The sequence below is a fragment of the Homo sapiens genome, chromosome 2 (genome assembly GCF_000001405.40).
Source record: "Homo sapiens chromosome 2, GRCh38.p14 Primary Assembly".
Classification (NCBI taxonomy): domain Eukaryota; kingdom Metazoa; phylum Chordata; class Mammalia; order Primates; family Hominidae; genus Homo; species Homo sapiens.
Window position 1 is genome coordinate 113,021,367 of NC_000002.12, and position 23,386 is coordinate 113,044,752.

Consider the following 23,386-nt stretch of genomic DNA (forward strand, 5'->3'; position numbering starts at 1 on the left):
GAAAAATATGTATTTTATTATTCCAGTTAGAGAAACATGCACTCACATGGACACATACATACAGATGCACAGGGGTACACATAAGACAACATTGTATGCTTCCAATAGAGCCTATGAGTACGTAAATGCATAAGAAATAGCCAGAGTGACACCAATTCATAACAGTGGTTACCATTGGGGTGGAGAAAGAGGAACTAGGATCTGGGGGGAAAGAATTTGGATTTATCTGGTATATTTTAACTTTATTTCAAGATGAATGTGTCGATGTATTAATAACTGAAAAATTAACGTTTTTAAAAGTGAAAAGTGTAAACAGCATGTGAAGAAAGTAGCTTTAGCAGAGGCTGTGTTTCTCAAATGCTGTGGTCCCCGTTATGTTCTGTATGCTTGAAAATTTTCTGATACAATAGCTAGGTGTTGTTCTGAGCAAATCAGTGGATGAAAGAGTGGATACCCAGGGTGGCTACTCGGTGCCTACAGTAGGAGGCCTAGACTATTACTATTCCATTGTAAGAAACAACTGACTGTCTTTTCCATGGCTATAATCCCTAACTTTTTGTTGCTGCATCTTTTGGGAGAAAAAGACTCACTGGGATCCTATTACATAGGAATGGAAATATATGGTTCTGCCTATGGTAGATAAAGAGCAGCCCACATGGGAGTTAAAGGCAAATGGATGAAGAAAAATAATATACTATAAAAATAATATCATATAGACTTGATTACATGGGAAAAACTAGTTTATTTTACCAGTGTAAGATTATAGAATTTTTAAGAAGAAATGTCTTTCAATTACTTTTAATTGTATGTGTTCCTTTTAAGTTATACATACTAAACAGAGCGTTTCACTCCTCATGCTCTAGTGAATAATTGCACATTATGTAAATAATTTTGAATAATTCTGCTGTTTCTTCCATAGGACTTAACCCCTGTACATCAGGAAAAGAAATAACAGATTGAGCTCTAGTAGCTTGCTGCTCTGTGGGAATTCAGGAGCAATGTTGTCTGATCTTCCCATTTTTCATGAAAACCTTGACTTTACAATTTTTTAAAAAACACTCTAAGGACTGGACAAAACACATTTACAGGTTATGTAGTCCAAATCTACTCCTAAAAAGACTCCGACCTTCTCTAGCTTTACAGGTAAGATTTACCAACTCTTTAAAAATACATAGTGTCCTTGTTTTACAAACTCTCCAGAACCCAAGAAAAGAGAAAAATTTCTGCAACTTATTCCATTTGTAGCATTTCATTGATAGCAAACCCACTCAAAGATTGTAGAGATGGGAATCTTCCTCCCCTTATTTCTACATCCTTCCTGGCATTCCTATGTTGGTCCGCATGGATGAGAAATCTTTGTCCTTCTTCCTGAGATGGTGATGTTGAAAGGAACTCTTCCACTTCTTTCTACCTGCAGGAAAGGAGAAGTATCTCCTAGGCTTAGCAAGATGTGGACATTTGCTAAACCACCAATTGAATAGGGGCTAAAAGGGCAGATTCTACACGGAGGCTCCTGGAGGAGATTGGAGTTTGCCTTCCTCTCAGCCTTACTCACTTGATTCTGCTGAAGAGTGATGGATTATTACAGTGACTGGAGAAAATGAAATTAGAGTTGGTGGGCATGGTTTTTGCCCCAAAAGTCTAGATTGAGGCCCCAGAAGACTAAGAGGCACCCCTCACTTCCCTAATCCAGCTGTAACAATAATAAAGGCACTGCTATGATTTTGATTTTGGCATCAACATAGTTTCTAAATGTTTGAACGTGGATGGCGATTGGAAGGAGGGACTGTTACCTACCAACCTTCAACATTTAATGTCAGTTCCATAAGGATGGCCATATTTTCCCCTTTTTGTTTACTACTATGTCCCCAGCACTTAGAACAGCATAGGTGCTCAAAACATATTTGTTGAATAATTCAGATTATTGATCCTGACACTTCCTTTGAGATAAAAACAAGCTTTGTTGTTTGGGGTTCAAACTACATGGTGAGTTTGGAGAAGACATTGCTAGTGGCTTTGGCCTTGGTCAGTTAGATGTGGCTTTTATTATGGCCACACTGCTATTATAGGCATAGATAAAACTGATTTTAGTGAACTAGAGCTGTAATCTGCAAAATTTAACCTGCTAAACTGTACGAGCAATAGAGAACATCAGTGTATGGTTTTTGATCTTTTGATGGTTGCTATTAGATATTGGGAGGTGGCACTCTGTCAGCTGCACAGTCTTTGCTAGTCTCTGTCTCATTTTTAATTGCATCCTTAGTTAAGGAGACAACCATTAAGGGAATGACATTATGGGTTTCCATGTAGTTTATTCACTTATTTCTGGTGTTACTTCCCAACCATACGGCCTAGAGTTGACTTTGAAGTATTCTTTTTATAATCAGAAATGTTCTACTTGTAAGTGACTCAAACTAGTAAGGTAGTTAACTGATCAGTTCTTTAACTGCATATTTATCTCCCCTCCTTTCTTGTTGATAACCCGTGTTGTTTTCTTGCCCCTAATTCACATTAGATCATCAACAACGTTAAAATAAACTTATTGACCTAAGTGAGAGACAAAGATTCTCAGTTGCAAGCTTATAGAGCTTTTTACATTTTCTCTTCTGAAGAATAAAGGAAACTGAAGTGGAGGGAAGGACAGGGCAGATATGCATGCTGATGGAAATTGAAGAGAAAGATGGGTGGAAGCATGTAGGGATCTCTGAAATGGACGTGCATTCATTTAGGTTTCTGAATAGAAGAGATTCAGGGGACAAACTATCTTTGAGTGTCACACGGGTAAACTCCCTCTCTACCACCCTGTGAAAAACCCACCATTCAATAGTCCTGGGCCTGAGGACCGTGACTCTTGCTTAAGAAAGCAACAAAAGCATCAACACCTCCGTGAATATTAGAGTATCTCATAGGCTGGAAAAAAAAGGTCATAGGAACTAGTGCTTCAGAGACTGGAACAGGGGGAATAACACTGTGCTCTTTCTCCATTTATCGATATTCTATTTCGTGTGTGTGTGTTTATGTTGGCCTTATTTTTTCCATACTACAGATAGACAAGGAATTAGCCTACCTCCTTGCAAGGCTTAGGAAACCCACATTGTTTGGGAAGTGCCTTCTGATACTGATTGAACAGAAATCTGTCATCCCGTGCCTTCTCCTGTGGTTCTTAGATTTAAGCAAAGAACATCACAGCTCTCGATCCAGGAGAGCAAATAAAATATTTGAGGACACCTCTTGAGTCTTTCTGTGGTTTCTCCTCCTCTTCTTCCTCCTTCACCATCACAATGTCCTCACTCCTCTGGCAGAGGGCACAGGTGGTGTGATGTAAGATGGGCTGGCTGTCTATCTCTTGCTCATGTTCAGTGCCCTTGGAATAGCTGGGAAGCTGATATTTATAAGCACTGTCCAGGATTACATTGCATTTTTCATCACCATCTTCCTATAGATTCTTTCTGCACATTTAGCTATTTACAGAACTCACATTCTTTGCAGCCCTTCTCAGAAAACCTATGTACTACGTATCCAAGTACATTGTTGCAAGTCTCTCATGGCCATCCTTGAGGCCATTTGTGCTTAGTCATGACCTTGTCAGAGAAAATATTTGCAATGGTGAATTTCCCTGGGCTCCTTCTCTTGTGCCCCTATGCTGTTGTGCATATGCATAAATACATGTGGGGAAAGGCTTGGACAAAATGCAAACCCTCAGACTGTGCACCGAGCCCTCCAAGAGGGAGGCAGAGGATACTGGCTAAAAGCTCCTGGGGATACCCTTGGTTATGTTTCATTTCTGCAGCCATCTCCTCCCGAGTGGATGCCCTTGTATCATCACATTCCCCTGGAGCCATATTGGCATAAGGGGAAGAGGAGGAAGAATTGAGACAGGGAAATTTCTGAGCAGCCTTTCTATGTTTTTCCTCTCCATATTCTGTGAGAAGCTTTCCAGTTCCTTGGACCCTTCTTGAAGTTGAGGACTGCCCTGATATAATGCAAGATTCTCCCTGACACACTTTGGTATTAATGGGAAGATGCTAATACATGAAATGAAAATTAATTTGCTTCAACAGTGCATTCTGAGAAACTGCTAAGAGGGAGGGAAGATTTGGTATCTAAAGGGAGTGCATAAATGAAAGAGACAAATTTCTGCCTCTATGTACCTAGAATTTGGTTGACGAGAAGAGAGCAAATGGGCCAAGACAAGGAGAAGAAGCTATAGCACAAAGCCTAAGAAAATAAATGTTCCATGAGAAGGCAAAAATGCTATGGACCTCGCAGAAGATAAGATGTTGCCTTCGGTTGGGAAGATGAGGAGAGTCCCGTAAAACAGCTGGAAGGGATTTAGGATGTTAGTAAGACATAGGCAGCAATGGAAGTGTTTGAGATGTGTGCAAAGGCATGAGCAGGAACATAGAGGGAAGAAATCCAACGTGTTGGAGGTGGCTAGTTGAGAAAAGAAGTTGGTTTTGATAGAATCTGTCTTAGCTAGGTTTATACCAGAAAGCAGAGACTGAGACAAGGGTTTGCATGCAAGATGATGACAAGTGACCCTAGGGAACATGAGAAGGGACTGGGGAAATTGAAACAGGGAAGTGAGAGAAGTCAATTCAGGATGTATTCTTGAACTTAGACCTGCCATGGGTGATTATGTCTCAATACTGCTGGGATCCTCTGAGGAACCATGAAGAATGAACGCATCTCAGAATTGTCCACCTGTGGGATGGATAAGAGAATTTGCTCCTCACCCACTCCTATTCCCCATTGGTCAAGGGTTCCCATGAAGCAGCTCTCTCTCACATCCAGGTTTATGCATGTGTGAATTCCAACTAGTTTCCAGCAAGTGTCCTTCCCTATGTTATCTTGGGAGCCCTGAAGCTGGAAGAGAGAAATGTTCAATGTTGCTGAGATAATACACTGCCAGGTTACACTGTCTCAAAGTTGGTTGCACGGCAATGACTGGAGTAAAAGGCCTGCATACAGCATGTAAGGTGGGGTTCAGGAGTATCCCAAAGAGAATGCGGGGCACTGAAGCAATAAGAGATAATGCCAGAAGCATAGTTTTGGGGACAAATTATGCCTGGCTGAGAAATTGGAACTTAGCAGTGGGTACCCATTGCAAGACCCAATATGCCTGCTTGTCATGTGCAAAGAAGGACAAGTTCTCTTGAGAGAAGACAGCCTGTTATGCTCATGTTCATGCTCAGGATATTATGGTATATTTATTGCAGTATACATGTACTTGGTTAGTGGATTTGCAGATTATATTACAAACTTTAATTAAAATAACTCTCACAAAATGGACAACTGGCTTAAAAGTATCCCTATAGAGGAGTGGTAGATTGAATGTACACTAACAAAATTCCAGAAAATATGAATAATAACAAGGAAGTATCATAGCTGATGCTTCTTCTTCCAGCAACTTTATAAAGTAAAAACAAAAAAACATTCAGTTCTAGAAGTTGTCTGAAAGAAATTAAAGCCAATATAAATGATTTTTTAAAATATGGATTGGTTTACATTCACCATGGTTAGCAATTGATCTTAACCAAAGTACAGTTGACCCTTGAACAGCATGGGGGTAGCAGTACAGTCAAAAATTCATGTATAACTGTTGACTTCAGAAAAACTTAACTAATAACCTGCTGTTGACCAGAAGCCTTGCCAATAACATAAACAGTCATTTAACACATTTTGTATGTTATATGTATTATATAATGTATTCTTACAATGAAGTAGGCTAGAGGAAAGAAAATACTATTAAGAAACTCGTAAGGAAGAGAAAACATATTTATTATTCATTAAGTGGGAGTGGATCATCATAACAATCTATCCTCATTATCTTCACATTGACTGAGGAGAAGAAAGAGGAGGGATTGTTTTTGCTGTCTCAGGGGTGGAGAGGCAGAAGAGGTGGAGGAGTTAGAGGGGGAGGCAGGAGAAGCAGGGACATTTGGTGTAACTTTTATTGAAAAAAATCAGTGTTTAAGTGGACCTGTGCAGTTCAAAATCGTGTTGTTCAAGGGTTAAGTGTATACACTGTGTGTCAAATTATTAACGAATGACATTAAGAATTCATTAGGATTAGAAAGACATGCAAACCTTTAATTTCACATTCATCTCATTCTTCAGCTTTATCTTTGGGGCACATATTATAATGTTTTATTGAAGAAGTTGTATGAACAAAATGTCATGAATCCACATCTCTACATCATGGGTTGGCAAAAGGAATAGGAATGGAAGGTTGCATGAAGCAGCATTTGGGGGGTTGACTAAACTGGGCATGGCAGCTGAGTGGATGGTGGGGTAAGATCAAGAAAGAATGGAAAGTGATTTTTAGGTTTCATCTTGGGATAGTGACATTCGAGTGAGGGTCTTGGTACAGAAATGGATGTTTGGAGGAGGAGGTGGCTTTTGGATAGTAAGAATGAGGTAAGCTATGGATGGGCTGAACTGCTAGTGAACTCAGTCGCATAATGATCTGTTAAGATGACTCTGACAGCTTGATTCTCTATCCTGGAACCAGCCACCCACAGCCTAGGCTGGATTTATTCCACAGAATCTAAGTAGAAGTTAGTGTTATTAGTTATGCCTCTCTCCTTGGTGAGAAAGATGGGCTGTCCTGATGTGGTGGAGGTGGCTATGAACCAGCCAGGGTAAGAGACTGACTGAAAGACAGAAGTGGAGCCTTCTTTATTGTGGAAAAAGAGAAAGGGCTTCTGTGCTTTCTTCTCCACATACAGGTCCATGATATTTTTTTCCTGGGGGTGGAAAAGAGGCTTGTTAGAGAGGAGGATAGGAGGAGGAAGCTAAAGTAACTCAGCTCTGAGTGTGTAACAGGAGAGGGACTGCTGCCCCCAAAGGAAGGGACAGAGGCTAGGGACAAAGGCAGATGAAGCAGGGCATTAGAGTGTTAAAAACGGGAACTCACTGGGTTCCCATAGCCTGGCTCCACCCCAGGATCCTCTGACACAAGGTGCTCTGACTCTTTGAAGCATCACTGTCTTCCCTGGAACAGAGGGAGGTTGAAATCTCTTTCTTGGTGCTTTTGATATGCATTTGTCTGCAGGTTCAGGCCAGTCTTGCTGCATTCTCAACCTCCAAGTGGGCTTATGCATTACAATTTCCAACAATAGCAGAAGAATTAGCTTCATAACTACAATGTTGCCTTGGTAAGAGTTATGTGTTTATGGTACACAGACCATAACCACATTCAAAATCTTTTTGTCTCCTCTGCTGTGCAGTCACCTTTGGTGTAGTGAGAGCATCCCGTTGTCTTAGAGGATTTCCAGAATGCAGTTAAACAGGACCGAGAATGGAGAAAATACTGTTCTTTGGCTTTTCTGAAACATTCCTGTAAGTGTATTTTCTATCTTTCAGAGGATCTATGCTCTGACATTAAAAGAAGTGTTATATCCATTCCAAAGGCAGCATTTATAGATTCAGGGATCAGCCAGGTCAGAATTATTTCCTTACATTGAATAGTCCAGGGTTGCAAGCATATTATTTTTATTCAGTAACATAGTAAATGAAATAGAAAGTCCATATGACAGTACTTCTCTCGTTAGCTGCACAATCACTCACCTTAAGCTGCAAAGTAGGCTTGCCCTGAATTTCTGCACAGAAGAGACAGAGATCTTTTCCCTTGATTCCCAGGTAAACCATATTACCCTTTTCCTTGTCACTGAATTCTGTGTCTCTACAGGCTATTAAATGAAGAGTGACTGGAAACACAAAGGAAAATGGAGAAGATGTTTCAGTCTTTCTGGTCTGACACTCAGTTACTCCCCCCAGGTAGGGAATAGTGACAGGCTCCTCCCATTAGCCATGTGGCAGAGACCCTCCATCACCCTCCTCAAACCTATTTTGTTTTTCGTCCTTAATAACAGAACCCCAGTTGTCACCAGGACATGTTGCTTCCCAAAAAGAAGTAAAATTTCCTACCACACTTGCAGCAAAATGTGGTCATATGCTTAAGATGTGGCCCATGAGATAAAAGTGGGGAGCTTCTATCTCATGGGCCACAATATGAGATGGGATGGGGGCTACCCAAATAAAGTGAGAGGTGGGTAGTGAGAATGTGATGGCAGTGGTCCAGGCAAGAGATGATGTTATCTTAGAAATCAGGCATGTTTTGCACGTAGACCTACCAATCTTTGCTAATAGATTGGATGGAGAGTGAGGGAAAGGAGGAATCAAGGATGTCTCCTGTATTTCCGGCTCGAGGAAATGGAGTGGACAGAAGTGCCACCAACAGAGAATGTTAGCGGTTTTGAGAAGACAGATCAATAGTCCCACTTGGGATACATGAAGTTAGAGGTATCTGAGAGGACCTCAAGAGGACACGGGTAAACTATTGAGAGAGGAGATCTGTGTTGGAAGTGTAAACGGCAGAGTGAATGAGTGTAGGGGTGATTCATCAATGCAAAAGATCAGCTCATTACCCATTCACAGGGCTTGTAAATGATGACTGGCTGAGCCCTGAGGAACGCCATCATTTGGAGATTTCAGAGACAAAGGAGAGTCATAAAAGAAAATGCAAAAGAGGAGCCAGCAAACCTCATGAGAAGTAATATTCTAATAGAAGGAGAAGATGGGCCAGGTGCGGTGGCTCACGCCTGTAATCCCAGCACTTTGGGAGGCTGAGGTGGGCGGATCACGAGGTCAGGGGTTCGAGACCAGCCTGACCAATGTGGTGAAACCCCATCTCTATTAAAAATACAAAAATTAGCTAGGCACAGTGGTGGGCACCTGTAATCCCAGCTACTCAGGAGTCTGAGGCAGGAGAATTGCTTGAAACCTGGGAGGTGGAGGTTACAGAGAGCTGAGATCGTGCCATTGCACTCCAGCCTGGGTGACAGAGTGAGACTCCGTTTAAAAAAAAAAAAGGGAGAAGATGTAGAGTATTCAAGAAGGAAATGGTCCATTACACTAGTGAGCTAAGGGCCAAATAGCATGGGGACCAAGAAGTGTCCTTTGGGTTTGAGTATTTGAAGGTCATGGGTGAAATAGAAGGTTGGGGGGGAGTAGGAAGAGTAATCCAGATGTTAGACTGCAAATTATGCAGCCAGCTCTCGTGAAGTTTTGCTATGATTGGCACAAGAAAATGTGTTAGTAGGAGGAAAATGTGGGAATCAAGAGAAGGTTGCAGCATGTCTGACAATGATAGAAAGGGTCCAGTAAACAAAGGTGGAATTTGCAGGGAAGCGAGGAATTAAACATTGAAGTTCTGGATACAGGGAAAGAAGCTGAGATGGACTGACTTTTGATGGGAGAAAGGAATATTTCCCCATTATTAGAAAAGAGGATGCCAACTTAGAAAGCTGTGTAGGTTTGGTGGTGGAAAGATGACGGAGTTTGAATCTGAGGACACAGGTAGCAATGGTTGGAACCTGAAGGAGAGAAACTCCAAGGAGAAGGTTAGCTGTTGTTTGAATGGATAAGCCCTTCTAATCTGAAGATATTTTCTTTTGGTAAGAGGAGCTGTCAACCCTTCACACCCTCATTTCTAGATATGGGATTTCCTTTGTGGAAGGGAATCATAGTGTCCTTTCTCACTTGACCTTCCTGTGGCTGTTGGGCTGGTGCCTAGAAGTGGGTGAGGTCCAGGGCCAGGCTTATGCAAGCTCAGCCTCATTCCTGGTGAAGATGGCATCACCTCAAGAAGCAACAGTGGGTTTGATTGTCACTCACCAGGCTTAATGCTGCGGCTAAGAGGAGCTGCTATTAAAGAATTTCCACTCAGGACCCACACCATCTGTCGAGAATCACGAATAGCATAGGATTTGGGTGCTGCCTCCCCTGCCAGATGACAAAAATGCACAAAATACACGTGAGGTTATCAACTTCAGGACTCCAGTTGCATCCTGGTATTAATGGCTTTTGAGTTTCTGGAGAGAGTCTCATTGCTCTGAGAAGTAGTGGCTATAACGATAAATGGAGGGGAAATAGGGCAGGGACTAGTTTGTGAATCAAAGCATTTGAAAGGATCTACGTGCAGTCACAGTCCCAAGATTCACCTTTTTCTAGGGCTATTAGTGACTTGTCTTTTTCCGAATGATAAAATGTCTAGGTGGTAAAAAAAACCCCATAATATTTAAATTAGTTATCCATATGTTGTTTTTTAAAATCCTCTCATCAAAATAAACAAGCAATTCTAAATACAGATAATAATAAAAGAGCTAGGTGCCCCGAGATTTTCAAAGGCCGTTTTAGGAACTGAGTGTTTTAGCAAGAGCAAATACATTTATAGCTTAGCAAATGATAGGGGTCCTTCCATCCTATTGTCTTTGATGAGGTCAGATGGAGATATTTCCAAGCTGATTTGCAATTCACCACTTACGTTGTGGGTTCATGATGTCTTCAGAGCCTTTTGTGAAGAGAACAAGATAGATCAGATGGTGGTGAGGAGGCTGTTAACAGTTGGCCATGTGAGAGAAGGAGAGAAGAAACATGTTATGCTTTTTTCTCCTCTCCCCCTAAAATTTTACTGTAAAAATTCTTTAGAGAGAGCTGCCCTGAGAGCCTCTCCTAGATGCATATTTGAGAATAAGGATGGGTACAGGACATTTCAAGGCCAGAAAACCCTAAAAGGAAGCTCCCATCTCTGCTGTGGCTGGCACAGTCCTGCTTCTCTAGGCTGTGATGGTCTTGGTATGCTTTCCATTAATCACATCTGGGATTGTTAGGAGGTTCCAACACATCACCACGGGCACCTTCTAGTACTCTGAGTCTCTGGGTTGAGAGGAAGGAGGGAGAGACAGAGTGCGTGTGTGTGTCTGTGTGTGTGTGTGTGTGTGTGTGTGTGTGTGTGTGTATCTCCATTTTAGCCCTCCACACAGCAGGTTAATCACCACTTTTCCTGACTTGAAGCTGAACACTCCTAAGTAATTTGTAGCTAACCTGCCTCACTGAGCCCATCTTCTTCCATTCCTCATCCAAAGAGACATCTGTAAGGATCATGCACATGGCCACTGAGGGCCCCACAAGGTGCTTTGACTATTAGGGATCATCTGCCTCTGGTTTTCTAGTTAGGGCACCAGAACAGTCCCCAAGAATATCACAGACACTCCACAATGAGAACCAGTTGTTCACAACCCTCCTTCTCTCAGGATCCTTGATGTGTGATTCAATAGTTGTCCCTACACAGTGGATAAGCAGATCACCAACCTGCACCCTTGTAAGCAGCCCTGGATCCTTCAGTACTCTGTACCTTTGACAAGACTCCCAGAGGCACTTCGAGGCTAAACACAGAGACATGAAAGAAGTTCCCCATACCTGGGTTCTAAGCAGCAGAAGTTACCTTTAGCAAGAGATGCTTTTGTCCCTCGTTTCAAAGTCAAGGCTCTAGTTGCATGTAAGTGGTCTAGCTGCATGAAAAGCTGGTCCAGGACTCCCAGGCCCCTTAATGACCAAGGAAAGAGCATTCTTTCCTGCCCCTGGGTGTGTTCATTTTGGAAAGAAAGCTGATATGGCCCAAAGATCTCTTGAGGCTCTGGAGGACTGACAGTGGAGCAACACAAGCATGACTGGTCTGTGCTTCCTGATTAACAAGAGCAGAGGCAACATCAGAAAACAGCAATGAGGAAATGCGGATTAGGCCAGATGCTGAGTTGAGGAGAGTGCCTTTACTGGTCTTCCTTGGAGGCAGAGGTGTGTCTCCCTTGGAGGCAGAGGTGTGGCTCTCTTGACCCACTAAACTGCATGAAGCCATTGCTGTGTTTGCATCTGATGTTAGGCCAATCACAGTACTCCTTGCAGGAGTTTTACACACCCACCATGTCACATTTATATGGTACAAATATTGAGAGCTTATTCTGTTTCTGCTAAAGTTGTAAGAGCTTTACCTGAGTAACCTTTTAATCTTCACGCTACATTTACTTTTTTTTTGGAGATGGAGTCTCGCTCTCGCTCTGTCGCCAAGCTGGAGTGCAGTGGCACGATCTCGGCTCATGGAAACTTCCGCCTCTCAGGTTCAAGTGATTCTCCTGCCTCAGCCTCCCGAGTAGCTGGAACTACAGGCACCCACTGCCACACTGGGCTAGTTTTTTGTATTTTATATTTCAGTAGAGAAGGGGTTTCACTGTGTTGCCCAGGCTGGTCTCAAACTCCTGAGCTCAGGCAGTCCACCCGCCTCGGCCTCCCAAAGTACTAGGATTACAGGCGTGAGCCACTGCACCCGTCCCACACACAACTCTTTAGGGGCCATTAATTTTATTTCTCATGTAAGAAAACAGCGGCTCTGAGGGATGACAGAATGTACCCAAAGTCATACAGCTACTAAGAAATCTAGCCAAGTTAGAAGCCAAGTCTCTCTATTCTTAATGATTATGTGACATGCCTCCCCTGGGTCATAGTCTCCTGCATACTGCACTAGCCGGAACACAGTCTTGCATTCAGTTGAGGATACTGAAAAATCTATAATGTGTCCAGGAGAGGAGAGGAGAGAACTTGGAGGTCTTGTGGCTTTCTAACTCTGAATTAGGAGTCAGACGCGGCTTCAATGTTGGCTATGAAAGAAAATCATTACTCTTGAAACCGAATATTATTGGTCAGTCCTACTCCCAATCACTCTTTGTGGTTCTGCTCTTGGAAATCCACCATTGACTCTATCTTCTGGAGCATTGCAATAGTCTCCTTGCTTCTGTTCTTACCTCCCTAGAGTCAGATGTCCACCTAGCAGTGACCAGAATCAAAGATGTAAATAAAGTCGTATGACTCTCTTGCACAGAACCCTCTAATAGCTTTGCTTTATGCCCCAAATAACCAAAGCCCTCACCAAGCCCACATGATCTGGGTCCTCTTTATCTTTCTGCTGCCTTCTATCCCTGCCCATCTGACTTCCCTGCTCTGGATGTACTGGATTCTGCTGATTTTCTTGCCCTGCAAGCTTATCTTCGCCTGCAGGGAGTTTTTCCTGTTCCTCTGAAGGAACAGCCTTCCCCAGGTCAACAAGTGGTCCACTCCCTCGCTTCTTCCATGCATATGCAAAAAAGCCAACTTCTCAATAAGGTATTCCCCAGCCAGCCTATCTCCAAGAGTCCCTCACCCATGTCCTAGCCCCTTATTTTGCTCAACTATTTTCTTCATAAAATGTATGCTTCCATGGTTTTGGAAAATGTATTTATCCATCTATTTATTTATTTATTATCTCCACTACCAAAATGCCAGTTCTGTGGGGCCAGGGAACCTGTTTTGTCTTGAGGCCAGAGAACTATGTGCTCAGTGGCAGGAATGGTGCGGACCTCTTATGGGAACTAACAAATATTTTTTGATAAACAAATAAATGTATGTAGTATCTCATGAATAAGAGGAAGACAGGGAAGAGAAAAGGGGAGTGGGATGCTTTGTAGGAAAGGCATCACTTGTGGTGAGAGGTGAGTTCTTGACCTCCTCATGGAGAAGGGCCAGGGGATGCTCTCCTATCGCCAGGATGGAGCCTCCCAAGAGAATCACTCAAACAGTCAGTGGGACTGGCAGCTTTGCCCCCATCTGGATGACTGGCACACCTAGAGACCCACAGGCTCACCTTGGCTCCTTGGCCAGGGCAGTGTGTGGTGAGGGAGTTCAGGGAGACCCTGATGTGATTTTACTGAAGTGTGGTGTACTCTAGAGATACAGACAAGGCTCTAACCTTCCCAGCACCAGCAGAGCCTAAAGAAACTATGGGGTCACATTCCTTGGAAGAACTTGGCAGAAACTCCCACCCCAACTCAGAACTTTTAGACATTTAAAGTGTGGAAGACTGAAGGCTCTCATGACTCCATGCAAAGAAGCCAGTGGTTGGCAGAAGGGTTGGAACCATGAGATTTTCCCCAAGGGATCAATGGGTCAAGTGATAGGATGTCCAACCATGAAAAGAATTTGAATCTGGGATCTATTCAGGTCCTGAGAGTGCTTAATGATGAAGACAGACAGGGTGACACTGATGGTCAGTCACCCTGTCCAAGAAACTACACACACGGTGTACTGAAATAAAATGAAATCAGACTGTACCAGAAACTGTGGGAACCCCTCCCTCTGCAAACCCAAAGCCAGTGCTGCAAGAACTCTGCCTTTCCTGTGCTTTTTCTTGGCCCCTAACATCTCAGCACTGGTAGGGGTACATGATCCATTCGCCTATGCCCACCATCTTGAGAAGCTCTTCTGAAAAAAAAAATAATAATAGCAACAAGAAAGTTGTGAAGTTTGGCAGGGATGTTGTTAGAGGACCTGATATCCAGTGAGAAAAAAAGCAAGTGAATATAGCAACATCGAAAGTAGAAATTAAAGAAGAAGAAAAGGAAAAAACAAAAATATTTTGATGTTTATACCTAGATGACTTGATGGTAAATAAATGGGTGAGATAAATAAATGAGTTAGAAACAGAAATAGATTAAGAAGAAGGCAATCCCAAGAGTCATGGAATAATGGCTTCACCCAGGGAGGAGGTGTGAAGATTCCCAGGATGAAGCTGTGTCTCTGACATAGACAATGCCTTTCCTGACTGATCAGAGGATTGAGATAAAAGAAGGGAAGTGGTTGCCTCAGGAGAGTAGGATTTGGTGGGGAAGAAATGGTCAGGGCTCTGTTGTTGGTAATTTTGCACTTTTCGATTCTTTTGTTTTTTTCTTTTCTTTTGCTCTGTCGCCCAGGCTGGAATGCAGTGGCGCGATCTTGGCTCACTGAAACCTCCGCCCCACCCGGGTTCAAGAAATTCTCCTGCCTCAGCCTCCCAAGTAGCTGGAGTTACAGGCATGCACCACCACACCTGGCTAATTTTTGTATTTTTTTTGTAGAGATGAGTTTTGCCATGTTGGCCAGCCTGGTCTTGAATTCCTGACCTCAAATGATCTGCCTGCCTCTGCCTCCCAAAGTGCTGGAATTCAGGCGTGAGCCAGCGTACCAGGCCTGATTCTATATTATTTTTAAAGCAATATACATGTGTTGTTATAAAAAAAAAGATTAAAACTAATTAGTCACGTTCCATGCCCTCATTTTATTTATCTGAAAACACCTTGCTTTTTTTTTTTTTTTCATGAAGTGGGTGCTGAGTCTCCTTTAAGGAGATAAATATAGGAAACTTAGGAGGGCTTATTCAGACACACCCCATGGCATCTTTTCTCTTTTTGCTCAGAGAGAAAAACCAAATATCTGATGAATGCAGCTGAGGGCATCCAACCCTTGATATGAAGCTCAGTTTTCATTCCCAGGTTGGAGATTCTGCCTCAGTCTCTGTCCTTCTGGTGACAAAGTCAGTAATGAGCAGGAATTTCCTCTTCCTGCCCCCAGGAAGAACACATTTCTGTGGGTGCTAAAATAGCTTAATTCCTGGATAGGCCAAACTCAGGCCTTCAGAAGCCTGTGAGGCATAGAATAAATAAGCATTTGATCCTGCCCAGAGCGCCTTATCCTGATTCTTTAAGCTGAGAGCCCAGATATTCCTTTCCTGGTGTGAAGGTAGGTGGATGATGTCGGAGGCCCAGCCTTGGTGATTCAGCCAGTCAGAAGGGACTGCATCTGAGCCAGACAAAATCTAGGACGGCACTGCCCTGTGTAGCCTGCCTATCTTGCCTGCATCCTGCCTGCAGGGAATTTGCGCTGCTCCGATTCTCCAGTCTGGGGAATGTAATAGAGTCACAGTAACTGTGGTAGCACAAGTGCTAAGATCCAGTCGAAACTATGGAGTTGAGGGAACCTTGGCTCTGAATTTCTCCTTTGACTCTTAGGTGCGCTCAGAAGTGCTTAAGAACCAGGTGGCCGCTCCCTCTGTACCTTCCCATGATGAGCGTGAGCATCTGTGTGGATCAGCGACCACAGTTGGAGGTACCTATGGCTCTCAACGTCCACGAGGCTGTGTGTCCACCTATCCATGTCCTTCCGTGTCACAGGCCCCAGGGATGTTCCCAGCATAAAGTCACTTTCCTGTTACTTGGAGTTCAATGATACTCCTTTGTGGATTCTCTGGAACAGAATAGAGAGTACAACTTTGTGGCTTTTTTAGAAGAGCCAGCTCATTTAGAAAATCCAATTGAGGCTGGGTGTGGTGGCTCACACCTGTAATCCCAGAACTTTGGGAGGCCAAGACAGGCGGATCACCTGAGGTTGGGAGTTTGAGACCAGCCTGACCAACATGGAGAAACCCCATCTCTATTAAAAATACAAAATTAGCCAGGCGTGGTGGCACATGCTTGTAGTCCCAGCTACTCGGGAGGCTGAAGCAGGAGTATTGCTTGAACCCAGGAGGCGGAGGTTGCGGTGAGCTGAAATCACGCCACTGCACTCCAACCTGGGCAACAAGAGCAAAACTCTATCTCAAAAAAAAAAAAAAATCCAAATGGTCTATACTTTCTGATTTTGTACAGTCTTTATACCATAATATGAATGATAGAGGAGTTTTCTATATCCTTATGATTGTCCTTTAATATTTTCTGTCATTTTGTACACATGTAAGTACTTTTTAGGCAATTGGCCTTAATAACCATCAGATTCTATGCTGTAGAGGTAAATTCTCATCAAATTATATACTACATTTTACGTGTTGATTTGAAATTAGGTCAGATTAATTAAAGAAGTGGGTGGCTGATACTACTAAATTTGCATAGATAATTTGTGTGTCTTTCTTTAGTTTAATTTATGCTTCACAATTAGGGCAGATCTGAATAACAGGAGTTTTTGACGAGCATTTGACGCTGACATTTGAAGTCTGGTAGTACTGCTCCTCCTTAGGTTAAATTATAGCTTCAAGGTCCTTCCCTGGAATTTACAAAACCTTAAGTGGGACTGAGATATTTCCAGAGAACAGATTGTACTGATAATTTGGGCCAGGAGGTAGTTTGGGATCTGGGCTTTTCACTTTCCAGACAGGGATGATGCTTTTCTTCTTGCTACAAGTTGTTGAAAGAGAGGCCTTCTGAGAACAGGACCCCTGGACCAGATCCTCACTCCCAGTTCCAGAGTGCTCCTCACTGCTGACTGGGCTCAGACATCTGCCCAGTGTCTAGTATGGTCATTCTGGACCAGACTTCATCCTGTGCCACTTCTATTTCTGTGAAGATAGATGAGCCTTCATACTAGGAAGTCTGAAATGGTTCTAGGTTTTTCCCATTTGCTTTCAGCAAATCTCTCCTTCATGCTTCCTCTTTAGAAGGTCCAGTTTCGAAAAGTAAGTATTTCCTGGTGGGAGATCTCAAGCGCAGCTGTGACTGCTGGTTGCTCCACTGTGGTAGTTTGTGCAGAGTGAGATGTGCGGTTCTGGGTGACATCCCCAAGTCTCAGTCCAATTTGGCCACACACTGAGGAGGTTGGTTAATGTAGGGGCAGATACAGAATAGTAATGACTTCAAGCCTGAAGCTCAGATGGCAGGCTGTGGGGTTAGTTACTTTTGGAAGGTATAATCCCAGAGAGCTGAGAGAAGATGTAAACTTCATGGCTTCAAGGACTAGTGGTAGGAGAGGGAGACAAAGAGACAGAGATGAGGATAAAAGATTGAGCTGCAGAGCCAATCATTAATTCAGAGACATCCTGGAGAGAGGCTGTCCTCTCAATGCCTGATCTCCATCTATGCTTGTTTTAGGTGATGGGTTCTACAGTGAGTGACTCAGTGGGAGACTGTCAGTTTCAGACTGGATTAACCATGTTTTCCCATGTCCCTTTCTCACCAGAGTGAAGGCAAGTCGTCGTGGGTTCTGTCCTTTAAGTTTAAGGGATGAGAAGGAAGGAAAAGTAGGTTGGCCTTGGATTTCTGCATCCAGCCTCCTCTCTCTAGATTGGGATATCAGCATAGTCCAGGTTGGCCCCTGGATATGAGACTCACTCTGGTCATCTTGGGAGTTCAAGGATATAGTCGGTGTCTGCTGTGAGGGATGAGACAGGCACAGAGCACTGGAACCTGCTCTTGCTTGACCCCTCACTAAGACAATTATAAGACAAAAAGATCCCCAGGGTGTCCCAGTCACAAAACTCAGGGAACACCCAAAGAGGGAAAAACCAAATACTCCAGGAAGTGGCCACTATCCCACCCCTGCAACCACCCTCACCGTGGCACAGTTCCCTGGCTTAAAGTACTGATTAACTTTGTGTTTAGTTAAGTCAAGGAGAACTGATAAAATAGAGTTTACAATATTACAGTCTTAGGCTCACACTGATTTCTCATCTGAAGAGGCCTAGAAATAAATATACTAGCCATTATGTATTAAATTAATGGAGAGTATATAACTTCCAAACTAGAGGGGAGGATGAACAAAGGAAAAACAAACAAAACCACCTTACTCAATCCAGTTGAAGCCATAAAGGGAAGGAGAAACAGGAACAGAAAAAGAGGTATCAGGAAAAAAAGCAAAGAAAAAATTAAAGCATGGTAGGAATAAATCCACATATTTCAGAAACCACAGTCCATTTAAATGAATTTAATTCTCCATTAAAAGAGACCTTCTTAAAACAGAAAGGCACGAGTTTATTTTTGTGTCACTGAGTTGGCTTGTATTGGATCAGGACTTTTACAAAAACAGCTATAAGACCTGGGTCAGATAGCGAAGGGAAACTGCTGACATCGGTGAATAAGCATAAGACAAGGCATGCAGGCAGATCCTGGAGGGAGTAGTCACTCGGGGAAAATCATCTGCATGGGTCAATTTCCCATTTTTGAAAGTTTCGTAAGGTGGGCAGGCTGAAGTTGCACAGTGTAGAAAATCCAATAGTCTTTCTTGAAGAATAAGGGAACAGATGTGACTCCACATCAAGAATAAAGATCATCAATGAAGACCAATGCTGAAATTGTCCAGACAAGAATTGTAAAGCAGAACTACATTAATGGAATAAAGGAGAAATGCCACCTAAATCTTTTAATAGACAAAGTATTAGGCCAAAGGTAACATCTACTTAGGATATAAACTCCCAGCAAACTAGGAATAGAAGAAAACTTCAACATGTTAAAATAGTGCCCAAGAAAAAAAAGTCTACAGCTCATACTTAATGGTGAAAGAATTGATTTTTTTCCCTAAGATTCATAACAGGTCAAGAATGTTTGCTTTTTCCACTTTTGTTCAACATCGTATTTGAAGTCCTAGTCATTTTGAGAAGTCTGCTAAAAATACACAAGAAATAGAAATCAGAAAATAAGTAAAACTCTCCTCAAATAATATGATTGTTTATATAGAAAATCCTAAGAAATCCACATAACAACTACTAGAACTAATAAGTGCAAGGCTGGAGGATACACTATTTTTTATAGAAAAGTTAACTGTATTTTTATATACTGGCAGCAGGCTATCAGAAAATGAAAGCAAAAATCAAATCCATTTACATAGCATCAAAAACTTCAAATACTTAGGAATAAATTTAACAAAGTATATAAAAGACCTGTGCACCAAAAACTACAAAGTGTTACTGAGAGAGATTAAAGAATACCTAAATAATTGAAGGTATATACCATGTTTATGAATTAAAAGACTGAATATTTTTAAGATGTCAGTCTATGGATTCCATGACATCTCTACCATAATAGCACTAGGCTTTTTTTTTGGTTGAAATTGCCAAGCTGGCCAGTCATAGTGGCTCACGCCTGTAATTCCAGCACTTTGGAAGGCCAAGGTGGGAGGATGGCTTGAGCTCAGGAGTTTGTGACCAGCTTGGGCAACTTAGCAACACCCTGTCTCTAAAAAAACACAAAGATTAGTGGGGCATGGTGGCTTGCGCCTGTGGTCCCAGCTACTTGGGAGGCTGAGGCAGAAGGATGACTTCAGTCTGCGGAGGTTGAGACTGCAGTCAGCCGAGATTGAGCCACTGCACTCCAGCCCTGGGTGACAGAGCAAGACTTTGCCACACACAAAAAAAAAGGAAGAAGAAAGGAAAGAAAATGCCAAACAAGCTTGGAGAAAGATGATCCAAGAAATCACTATCTGTACCACAAAATGACAAAAATCAAGACAATGTCTTACTAGCAGCATGAGGAGTGATAAATAAAACAATCAAATCGAATAGAAAGCCTATATGCCAAAGTGATCCAGTGGGAGAAAGAGATACCTTTTAAACAAACAGTGCCAGAACAATTAGATATCCATGAGAAAATATGAATCTCAAACCCTACCTCACACATAATACTGAAAATTTAATCGAGGTGAATTACAGACCTAAACATGAAAGCTAAAACCTTAGCGCTTTTAGAGAAAAAAGGCTAATATTTCTTAAACTTGAGGGTGAGCAAAGGTTTCTTAGGCAGATCTCAGAAAGAAATAACCATGAAAGAAATAAAGATTAAACTAGACATTGTTAAAATAAAAACTTACTTATTAGGCTCATCAAATGACACTGTTAAGGAAACAAGTAGCAAGTCACAGACATATATCTGATCAACAACTGATATTCAACATATATAAAGAACTGGTATAATTGACAAATAAAAAGTTAAGCAATCTAATTTTTTTAGAGACAGGGTCTCACCTATGTTGCCTAGGCTGGAGTGCAGTGGCTATTCACAGGTGCAATCACAGTGCAAGGCAGCCTTGAACTCCTGGGCTCAAGAGATCCTCCTGCCTCAGCCTCCCGAGTTAACAATCTAATTTTTAAAATGGGCTGGCTTTCTGGGATGATGGTGACGAGGTCTCAGTGCCTGGAAAGGGGGTGGCATTACCCTCAAGGATGCTGGGAGGCTTTTTCCAGGGAGCTGACAGTAGTGACAAAGGACATCTGATATGGAACATCAGGGGAAAGAGAGCAGGACTTCACCTCATAAGGACAACCACTAGGAGGTGCCTCTGACACCAGCCATGGGTTTCAGCACCTGAAGTGTTTTAAGGGCTGTATCTGAGGCACCTGTTCATTCACCTGTCACCCTATGTTGTCGTATCCAGAATGGAACCTCTATTAGGGCAGGAGTCGTCTTGCCTTTCCGAGCTTCTCACTATTCAGGGACACATAATAGGTCATTCCTAGAATGCCTAAGCTAGCTATATCCCTTAATCCTGCACTCAGGGTTTGAAAAAAATTTAACTTTATTGAGGAATAATTAGCACACAATAAACGGCGCAAAATATACAATTTGATAAGTTTTGACATATGTCTATGTTTGTGAAACCATCATCAAAATTAAAATCATGAACATATTCACCATCCCCCAAAGAGTCTTCATGTCTCCTGGAATCTGTCCTTCCCTCCCATCCCCCGTCCTATTCACCAGGAATCTACAGATCTGCTTTCTGTCACTATAGGTTTGTTTTCATTTGTTTTGTAATTTTATATAAAGGGGATCCCCCAGTATATAATTGATTTTGTCTGGCTTCCTTCACTCAGTGTACTTTCCTTGAGATCCATTCAAGTTGTTCCAATAGTCATTCCTTTTAATTGTCCTCCATTCAGTTTTTAATAGAAATTTGGTTTCTTCCACTTTTTGGCTATTACAAATAGAGCTACTATGAACATTGATGTACAAGTCTTAGTATGGACATATGCTTTCTTTTCTCTTAAATTAATACCTAGAAGTGGAATGGCTGGATCATAGGGTTGGTATATGTTAACTTTAACAGAAACTACCTTTTTTTTTCATTTTACATTTTCATCACTATTATGTGAGAGATCTGGTTCTCTAATATTCTCACCAAGACTTGGTATAGCTAGTCTTTTTAATTTTAGCAATAGTAATAGGTAAGCAATACTAATAGCTCATTGCTATTTTATTTGCAGTTTCCCAATGACTAATTATATTGAACATCTTTTTGTAGGCTTTTTGTTTTGGTCATCTGTATATATTATTTGATACAAATATCTGTTCTAAGTTTTTGCCCATTTTAAAAATTGTCTTTTTTGTTTCCTTTTTATTAAGTTTTGAGAGTTCTTTATATACTGTGGATACAAGTCCTTTCTCAGATATATACATTACAAGTATTTTTCCCAGTCAGTGACTTCTCTTTTCATTCTCTGAATAGAATCTTTCAAAAAGAAATTTTTGTTTTTAATAAAGTCAAATTTAGCAATTTAAAAAATCATACGTACCATAATTTCTCACTGTATCTAAGAAATCTTTGCTTAATAGAATGAAAAAGGTTTCTTCTATGTTTAATTATGAAGCATTGTAGATTATGTTTTCCATTTTGATTTATGATCAATTTTGAATTATTTTTCCATATGCTGCAAGAAATGGATCATAATTCACCTTTTTGTTGTCATTATATGAATATCTCATTGATTTGTCACCATTTGTTGAACATGGTATTTTTTTCTCCACTGATTGTATTTGTTGTTGTTGTTTTTAAGACAGAGTCTTGCTCTGTCGCCCAGGCTGGAGTGCATGGCACGATCTCAGCTCTCTGCAACCTCCGCTCCCCAGGTTCAAGCAATTCTCTATCTTCCAAGTAGCTGGGATTACAGGCATGCACCACCACACCCAGCTAACTTTTGTATTTTTAGTAGAGAAGGGGTTTCACCATGTTGGCCAGGCTTGTCTTGGACTCCTGACCTCAGGTGATCCGCCCACCTAGGTCTCCCAAAGTGCTGGAATTACAGGTGTGAGCCACTGCACCCAGCCACACTGGTTGTATTTGTATGTTTGTTGAAAATCAGTTGTTCATATATGTGTAAGTCTATTTCTGGACTCTATCCTTTTTCATTGACCTATTTGTCTATCTTTTTGCCAATGCCACATGTAATAATCAGCATGTCAATTTCTTTAATAAAAGCCTGCTAGGATTTTGACTGGGATTGTATTGGATCTACAGGTCAAGTTGGGGAAAATTCACTTTTTAATAATATTGAATCCTCTGACCCTTGAGGAAGGCATATCGTTCTGGCTTTTTGGGCCTTTCAAAAACTTTCTTTTAGCAATATTTTAAAATTTTCAGTGTGTCAGTGTACTGTTAATCATTGTGAAATAAACTTCTTATCCTTGGCAATATTCTTTATTCTGCAATTTACTTTGATATATCTATATCTATATGTGTGTGTGTGTGTGTGTGTGTGTGTGTGTGTGTGTGTGTGTGTGTGAATTTAGAAACATTGCTCTGTTGCCCAGGCTGGAGTACAGTGGCATGATCATTAGTTCACTGTAGCTGTGAACTCCTGAGCTCAAGTGATCCTACCACCTCAGCTTCTGGAGTAGCTGGGACTACAGGCATGTGCCACCATGTTCAGCTATTTTTTTTATTTTTTGTAAAGACAAGGTCTCACTATGTTGCCCAGGCTCACTTTGTCTAATATTAATATAGCCACTCCAACTTGCTTTTTATTGGTGTTAACATGGTATATCATTTTCCATCATGTTCCTTTTAGCATAATTGTGTCTTTACCTTTAAAGTGCACTTCTTGTTGGTAGCATCTAGTAAAGTTTTGCTTTTTAATTCAATCTGACAATCTTTTAATTGGAGTGTTTAGGCTATTTATATTTAATGTTGCTATTGCTGTGGTTAGGTTCAAGTCTACCATCGTGTT

General features: G+C 41.7%; 1 protein-coding gene across 3 annotated transcripts in view, besides 1 other annotated feature; it reads right to left on the reverse strand.

The window, feature by feature from the left end:
- Window positions 1-722: 722 nt before the first annotated feature.
- The window catches only part of IL36B (interleukin 36 beta), a 30,779-nt gene continuing 8,115 nt past the window's right edge, over window positions 723-23,386 (reverse strand). Inside the window, exons 2-6 of one of the 3 annotated variants that reach the window (NM_014438.5) lie at window positions 10,331-10,400; window positions 9,682-9,789; window positions 7,573-7,712; window positions 4,737-4,866; window positions 723-1,411 (exon numbers count right to left, since the gene is read on the reverse strand). In NM_014438.5, the coding sequence (NP_055253.2) occupies window positions 1,308-1,411; window positions 4,737-4,866; window positions 7,573-7,712; window positions 9,682-9,789; window positions 10,331-10,343 (495 nt within the window). In that variant the 5' untranslated portion in view covers window positions 10,344-10,400 and the 3' untranslated portion in view covers window positions 723-1,307. Of the gene's footprint in view, window positions 1,412-4,736; window positions 4,867-6,066; window positions 6,750-7,572; window positions 7,713-9,681; window positions 9,790-10,330; window positions 10,401-11,290; window positions 11,491-23,386 lie in introns of those variants that run through there. The other 2 variants (XM_011510962.1, NM_173178.3) reach the window with 2 other exon arrangements.
- Window positions 12,726-13,020: a silencer, noted in NCBI's record as "tiled region #4990; K562 Repressive DNase matched - State 8:EnhW". NCBI's record gives its function as "represses a minimal TATA promoter and a strong SV40 promoter by Sharpr-MPRA in K562 cells {active_cell/tissue: K562}" and the evidence as "EXISTENCE:reporter gene assay evidence [ECO:0000049][PMID:27701403]".